Source organism: Homo sapiens, chromosome 10 (genome assembly GCF_000001405.40).
Source record: "Homo sapiens chromosome 10, GRCh38.p14 Primary Assembly".
NCBI classification, from domain to species: Eukaryota; Metazoa; Chordata; class Mammalia; order Primates; family Hominidae; genus Homo; species Homo sapiens.
This window is the reverse complement of record NC_000010.11, coordinates 17,560,250-17,568,864: the sequence shown is the minus strand read 5'-3', so window position 1 is coordinate 17,568,864 and position 8,615 is coordinate 17,560,250. Positions and strand designations below refer to the sequence as shown.

General features: G+C 42.4%; 1 annotated feature.

The window, feature by feature from the left end:
• Positions 5,921-6,215: an enhancer, noted in NCBI's record as "tiled region #12998; HepG2 Activating non-DNase unmatched - State 22:ReprW". NCBI's record gives its function as "activates a minimal TATA promoter and a strong SV40 promoter by Sharpr-MPRA in HepG2 cells {active_cell/tissue: HepG2}" and the evidence as "EXISTENCE:reporter gene assay evidence [ECO:0000049][PMID:27701403]".

Sequence of the window (8,615 nt, the reverse complement as noted above, 5' to 3'; positions counted from 1 at the left end):
TACAACTATTAGCCAGGCGTGGTGGCACACACTTGTAGTCCTAGCTACTCAGGAGGCTGAGGAAGGAGAATCGCTTGAACCCAGGAGGTGGAGGAAGTTGCAGTGAGCCGAGATCACGCCGCTGCACTCCAGCCTGGGAGACAAAGCAAGACTCCATCTAAAAAACAAAACAAAACAAAAAGCAAAGTATATCCAGATGCAGACATTTCATCCTTCCATGGCTGACCCTATCCTGGGCTGGGCCATCATTTTCTTTTGTCTGTATCATTGCCATTGCCTCCTAACTGGTTTCCTCATTTAATCCCTGGGTCCCTATAGACTACTCTTAACATAGTAATTATTTTATTAAACTAAAGTGAAATTGGTGCTTGTAATCCCAGCTACTTGGGAGGCTGAGGCAGGAGAATCGCTTCAACCCAGGAGGCGGAGGTTGCAGTGAGCCGAGATCACACCATTGCACTCCAGCCTGGGTGACAGAGAAAAACTCCATCTCAAAAATAAATAAATAACGTGAAATCATGTCATTCCTTTTCTCAATACTTTCCAGTAATTACCCACTTCTACTTTTATTATCAGAGTAAGTCAGCGTCCTAACTATGCGGCCTGCTAAGCCCTCCGTAATCTGCTGCTTCTCCTCGGCTGTCACAATCAACTTCTACCTTATTGTCCTTTGCTATTTTGCTCCAGTCACACTTGACACCTTGCTGTCCTCAGAAAATGCCAACCATGCTCCTGCCTCAAGGCCAATGCCCTTGGCACTGCTTCCCTGTGAGTTTTTGCTCAAAATGTCACTTTGTCACAGAGGCCTTCCCTGACTACCCTGTGAGGTAGCAACCCTCTTCCTTCCACTGCATTCTATATCCCCTAACTCCAACTTAATTTTTAAATAACAGTTGACAAAACACATATCTACATAGTTTGTGGGTCCCACTGTGTAGATCATAAACTCAATGAGGGCAGGCCTATTGGTCTTTTTATTTTCCTTTCTTTCATTGTTTCATCACCAACACCTAAAGCAGCTTGGCACAGAATAGGTATTGATTTTTTTTTTTTTTTTTTGAGCCGGAGTCCCTGTTGCCCAGGCTGGAGTACAGTAGCACAATCTCAGCTCACTGCAACCTCTGCCTCCCAGGTTCAAGCGATTCTCCTGCCTCAGCCTCCCGGGTAGCTGGAATTATAGGCGCCTGCCACCATGCCCGGCTAATTTTTGTACTTTTAGTAGAGACGGGATTTCATCATTTGGCCGGGCTGGTCTCGAACTTCTGACCTTAAGTGATCTGCCCGCCTCAGCCTCCCAAGGTATTGAAATATTTATTGAATGAATGAATCAATGAATCCTATCAACAGAAGGTTGAATTCCAGAAGTATGTACTAGATACTTCCGTTGTTAACACTTGTTCGTAACATAGCACCTGATGAGAATTTCTGATAAACTATAAATTGTAACTGGCAACAGAAAAAAATACCTAGTCTAAACAAATCTACTCTCTACCATACCTTAGTACCATGCTACTCAACTATTTTCTAGCAAAACAAAAACTTTTGAGGTGTGGGGTTCGGTTAACAAGTGATTTTGGCATGATTTTTCAAAAGAGCTGTTAAGCTACAGAATTCACTAAGCCATATAACAACTTTATTAAAGAACTATCCATATGCCAACACTGTGCTCTGGGCATGAAGGCATAAAAGGTTGTTCCTGCTCTCAAGGGGATTACAGTCTTTTTTTTTTTTTAAAGGACAAATCAACTTGCAATTAAAAATGTACATGTCAAGTGCTTTGCGAATATGCTATTGGAGTACGGAAGAGGGCCAATTAACTCAGGAGAGACTCTGCAAAGGAGGGCAGGCTGGAGCTGAGTCTTGAGGGATTACGTAGATTTTATTTACACAAAATATAAATAGATGTTTGTTTATTTTTAAAATTTTTTTCTGTGCTGGGCAGAGGCAACAGCAGCCTGACCAAAGGCATAGGGTTCTGAAGGAGTTTGATGGGGAAAATGCTGTGGTTTGCATATGAGTCCCTTCAAAACTCCTATATTGTTACATAAAGCCCAAGGTGATGGTATGAAGAGGTGGGGCTTTTGGAAGGTGACTGGATAGGATTGGTGTCCTTATAAAAGGGCTGGAAGGAGTGAGTCTGTCCCTTTTTTGCCCTTGTAAAAATGCATCAAGAAAGTGCGACTGGGCCGGGTGCGGTGGCTCACTCCTGTAATCCCAGCACTTTGGGAGGCCGAGGTGGGCAGATCACAAAGTCAAGAGATCGAGACCGTCCTGGCCAACATGGTGAAACCTCGTCTCTACTAAAAATACAAAAATTAGCTGGGCGTGGTGGCGGGTGCCTGCAGTCTCAGCTACTCAGGAGGCTGAGGCAGGAGAATTGCTTGAACCTGGGAGGCGCAGGTTGCAGTTAGCCGAGATTGCACCACTGCACTCCAGCCTGGGTGACAGGGAGAGACTCCATCTCAAAAAAAAAAAAAAGAAAAAAAAATGCACCTGTAATCCTAGCACTTTGGGAGGCCGGGGTGGGTGGATCACTTGAGGTCAGGAGTTCCAGACCAACCTGGCCAACATGGTGAAACCATGTCTCCATTAAAAATACAAAAATTAGACAGGCATGGTGGCACATACCTATAATCCCAGCTACTTGGGAGGCTGAGGCAGAAGAATCACTTGAACTTGAGAGGTGGAGGTTTCAGTGAGCCGAGATCACGCCACTGCACTCCAGCCTGGGCAACAGAGGGAGACTCCATCTCAAAAACAACAACAACAACAACAACTAAATTTTGACATATGAATGCATCCTATGGCCATAAGCTCTCAGACTTTCTTTTCTTTGGTTTGATCTTGGGCTATGAGATAGTTTACATGTATCCATCAAAGAGAAACCTGCTGTTATTGGCTGTAGAGTAGTTAATCAATAATTCTGTTTTTCTTTATGATATTGGGTAGGGTATTTTCAGTGTTTATTGATATGATAATTTGAAACCAAACCTATGAAGTTTTTTTCTTAGATGAAAAAATGAAGTCTAATCAGGAAGAAGGGAGATGACAGGTAAGAGAATAGAAGAGTTTATATTGAAAGAGAAAGAATGGAATCAAGGTTTTCTGTATGGGGGCTACAACATTTTAACTTGAGATTTTCTTTCCTGTTGCGTTCCAACTTGTTTCCTTCTCATTTCTTGCTAAAGCTAATTAGAAATCCTCAAACTAGGACAGGCGTGGTGGCTCATGCCTGTAATCCCAGCACTTTGGGTGGCTGAGGCAGGTGGATTACTTGAGGTTAGGAGTTTGAGACCAGCCTGGCCAACGAGGTGAAATCTGATCCCTATTAAAAATACAAAAATTAGCCGGGTGTGGTGGTGGGTACCTATGATCTCAGCTACTGCGGAGGCCGAGGTATGAGAATCACTTGAAGCTGGGAGGCAGAGGCAGCAGTGATGCAGTGAGCCACGATCATGCCACTGCACTACAGCCTAGTCTGGTCAACAGAGTGAGACACCATCTAAAAAAAAAAAAAAAGGAACTCCTCAAACTAAAAGCAGGTAGTAGAGTAAAGCTAGCTACTTTAACCAATGTATCCAGAAGTCTCAGCAGGTTAACATAAAATCAAAAAGGATGGGCGTATAACCCACCTCCGTGCAGTGGATCCAGGGACCTAGGCTCCTTCTATCTTATGGCTATGCTGTCTTTAACATATGCCTTTCAAGATCAACATGACTGTCTTTATCACTCTAGCACAGCAGAAGAGACACACAAATTTGCATGCAGGCAGTTTTTATGGGCCAGATGTGGAAGTAGTATTCATGGATGTTCCACTGGCAAAAACATAGCTGCATAGCTAAAACAAATTATATACAATGCTGGTGCCCAGGAAAGTATAGAATGGTACTTTAGAATCGCATTAACATGGCCAGATGTGGTGCCTCATGCCTGTAATCCCAGCACTTTGGGAGGCTGAGGCGGGCAGATCATTTGAGGTCAGGAGTTTGAGACTGGCCTGGCCAATATGATGAAACCCTGTCTCTATTAAAAACACAAAAATTAGCTGGGCGTGGTGGCGTGCACCTGTAAACCCAGCTACTTGGGAGGCTGAGGCAGGAGAATCGCTTGAGCCCAGGAGGCAGAGGTTGCAGTGAGCTGAGATTGTGCCGCTGCACTCCAGCCTGGGTGACAGAGTAAGACTCAGTCTCAAACAAAACAAAACAAAAAAACAAAACAAAACAAAACAAAGAATTGCATTGACAGTGATTACTAAGATGACCGTTTTTTTCAACGTTTGCATCTATGGAATTCTTGATGCTTTAAAAATAAATTTCAAAGAGCTGTTTATCTAATAGGGACATTTATTTTTCATCTATTGCTTCTCCTGCAAGTTTTCTTCCTCTCTCTGGTTCCTTATAGTTATGGGCTTCCAACACCCCCTCCGCAGTGGACACACGTGCTTTGGCATATGCAAGCTGATTATATTTTGCTTTGTGATGTCTCTCTCTATAATTTGAAACTATAGAAATCCACATTTAGAGGGATCTATATGGGGCTTTGTATTTTATGCCATTGATCTACATGTTTATTTTTTCCATCAATTCTGCCCAGTAGGTAGTTGAAAGGTATTACAGAGATGAGGGAACAATGTATATGATGAAAAAAAGAATCAACCAGTTAAGTTTGCGTTCAATTTCCTTATTCAGTTGATTTGATTTCAGTCTCTCAAATAACAGCTGAGCGTGTGTGTCTGTGTGACTGTGGCAGGAAGATGAGGAGGTGGGGATGGACAAATGAAAGTAGTGAGAGATTGTGGAGGACTGAGATAGAGCTAGTAAAGCTGTGAGCTGCTAAATTGTTTGGGGTTCATGCTGTTGAAGAACAAAATTTCAACATATTTTGTTAAAATATCAAATTGGCTTTTATTAGCAATTCATGAATTAGGTAGCATCTCATTTATGAAATAGAAAAGACCCTCCAATGGGCTGAGCAGAGGAGGTGGGCTTTATAGGCATACAGAGCTGCAGAAGCAGAAACAGGGAACAGAAAGCCAACTGGTCATTTCCAAGTTACTCTACTTCTAGGATTCAGGCTGAGAGAACTTTCTCATCATGCCTATTCAGGGTGACTAGGCTCCTTTTGACTGGCTGCGGTGAGTTTCCTATTCCTTGGAAAACCATTTTAAAGTTCAGTTTGACTATGTGGTACTTAGCATGACTGACTCCATTCTGGTTTGCTCTGGTTTGTTGGGGCTTAGTGCAGGAGCTCAGTCCAAAACAACGCCCTCCTATTAAATTTCATTTGGCAAAGCAATAATGATTCTATATTTGTGTATTGATTTCATGAATTCCAAACAGCTTCTGAATCGTCAGACTTGTTGGAGCACAACGTTGTATTTGATTATTAATATCTGATTTAAACAAGGTTGCAAAATGAGTCATCAATGGCAGTGAACTAAATTCAGGTTCTCATATTTTCCCTAAAACTAATCAAGCGAACAACCTAGAGAGGTATTAAAATTAAGGACACATAAAAATGCTGTCAGGAAGGTAGCAGTGTGGTGTTTAATACAATAATTTTGCTTCTTAGGAAGACAGGATAAGTGACTTTTTGAATAAACACTGCAGTAATTGTGTATAGAATTCATATTTCTTCATGCTGAAAGACAAAAAAAGGAATTACTTTGAGTGCAAAGAAATTTATAGCTCAGTTTTAAGTATGCATTGAAAAGTGGAATTAAAGCTTCCTGAAGCCTATTTGAATTTATAATGAAGGAAATTCAGAAGTAAAGCAGTGTCGACTTGATATTCCCAATGTTGTGACCCTTCCTAAAACTCTTTGGGTTTCTTTATCATATAAAATTTGCTTGCCGCAGAAATATTGGCAGTATATGAAATCTGGACGGAATCCAGAACCTAGTACAGTCCAGGGAAAAATGTTCTTTCGGGCGCTGAATATATAGAGGCATGACACAAACAAGCCTTCATCTATTTATCATAGTTCATGGTCTGGTCATGTCCCCTGCCAAAGCTTTTCTGGGAAGCCGTAAGACGAAAATGATTTGCTGGCCTAGCTTCTGACTTGACTTCATTCCTCTCTGTGGGGGATCACTTTACATTTTCTTAATTGCAGGGACAGCTTGTGTGGTTGGCAGTTGTTTGAATTGAGAAATGGACTTTAAGGAACTACGGTTTCTTTGGCTCAGCTGGAATTTAAGTAGTCATAGACTAAATTAACAGCCACGGTCAAAGCCCAGATGACAGCTGTGTCACAGAAAAGGAAAGGTAAGGGTTTATTTTGTGCTACTATATTAGGATCATGCTCTTAAAATAATGAGTTTTGCAACTTCACACTTTTGAGTCATACTGCCATTTTTTAAAGGTACCAAAAGGCTCCTCCAAGGTAATGTTACGAACCTCAGGTGTCAGGATAGGAAATGTAGCCTGGCCGATTGCAGATAGTAATTTGTTTTAATCTTGTGATTTATAATACGTAGTTTTTGCTTCATTGTGACCGAATGCAATAGGTCGTGAACATTATTTCCATTTAACATCTAAGGTTACAAATGTGAATAAAGTTTAAGTCGCATGGACGAACAGAATAAAAATTAGAACTGTCATCCTTAACCTTTAATTTTACAAGTGGTACCACCTCTACTACTTCTACGGACATCACAAACATTTGTTCTTGCATTTTAAAGACCTTATGCAAATTAAGGCTAGGCACGGTGGCTCATGCCTGTAATTCCAGCACTTTGGGTGGCCGAGGGGGGTGGATCATGAGATCAGGAGTTCGAGACCGGCCTGGCCAACATGGTGAAACCCCATCTCTACTACAGTGACCGGATGGTCGCTCTTCTTGCACATTAAATTTTCATAGGTAGAGTGGGGTTCAGGAGTCGCTTGCTTCAGTGCTAAAATAATGTCACATGCATCCCACCTCTCTGTTCTACTGCAGGGTGGGCTATGTTTTCAGGCCTTAAAAAAGTGACCAGTGATGGTTTCAGGCTCCTCGGTTTAGTTAAAAGAAGTCCAATTTCAAACATGTCCTTCCTCCATTAAAACCAGTGGAAGTGGGGAAAACAACTCTCTTCAGAAACCCTCGAACACCGCAGGATTCAGTGAGTTTGTGTATCTGCTCTTGAACCAATTACTGTGGACGAGTGCATGAAATAATTTGGCTGTGCGAATCAGGGTCCATTTCTGAGGCTAGAGATGGAATTTATGTCACCCAAACCACATGGTTGACAATAAAGTTTCCTTAAAAAAAGTTGGTGTCATAATAAAGGGAGATAATATTTGCTACCAAATAGCGACATTGCATTTATACCATGCTAACAATTAAGAACAAGTACAGAAAACTTTTGCTTCTATACAGAAGTCGGTAAGTAGCAGCAGGTCATAGCTTCTGCTGCAACAATTAGAGCAAGCAGATGAATGACAAAAATCATAGTTTTAAAGACCATGGAGAGACGATCAAGCAAAGAGAACCAGACCAGTGGTTCTCATGCTTTCACATGTGTGAGAATCATCCAGAGGGCTTGTTGAAACAGACTGCAGGGGCCCATGCTGCAGAATTTATGAATCAGTAAGTATGAGTTGGCATTTATTCTGTAATTCTGCAGTAAAGGCAATAAGTCAAGTTGGGGAATGGTGAAAAGAACAAAGGTAGAAAGGACTTGGCATTCCTATTTCAACTTTCTTCAAAGAGTGGAAAAGCTGTTATTTGAAAAAAGGATTTACTTTATTTAGTGTGGTTCTTAAAGGTTGCTGTGGTTTGAATATTGAACATTTGTCTTCTCCAAAACTCACGTTGAAATTTATTCTTTTTCTTTTGAGATGGAGTCTCGCTGTGTCACCCAGGCTAGAGTGCAGTGGCCCCATCTTGGCTCACTGCAATCTCTGCTTCCCGGGTTCAAGCGATTCTCCTGCCTCAGCCTCCCGAGTAGCTGGGACTACAAATGCGTGCTACTGTGCCCAGCCAATTTTTGTGTTTTTAGTAGAGACAGGGTTTCACTATGTTGGCCAGGCTAGTCTCAAACTCCTGACCTCAGGTGATCTACCCGCCTAGGCCTCCCAAAGTGCTGGGATTACAGGCGTGAGCCATCGTGCCTGGCCTCAGGTTGAAATTTAATTCCCAAGGTGGCATCATTGAGAGGCAGGCCCTTTAAGAGGTGTTTCAATCATGAGGGCTCGGCCCTCATGAAGGGATTTCTCCATCACAGATTAATGGATTAATGGATTATCATGGGAGGGGAGCTGGTGGCTTTACAAAAAGAGGAAGAAAGACCTGAGCTAGCACGTTGGTGTGCTCAGTCCCCTGGCCATGTGATACCGTGTGCCCCACTGGGACTCTGTGGAGTCCCCACCAGAAAGAAGCCTCTCATCAACAGATGAACGGATGAAAAAAATGTAGTATATATACACATACACAGGCCAGCATGGTGGCTCACGCCTATAATCCCAGCACTTTGGGAGGCTGGAGGTGGGCAGATCACTTGAGGTCAAGAGTTCAAGACTAGCCTGGCCAACATGGTGAAACCCCGTCTCTACCAAAAATACAAAAATTAGTGGGGGGTTGGTGGCAGGCACCTGGAATCCTAGCTACTTGGGAGGCTGAGGCATGAGAATTCT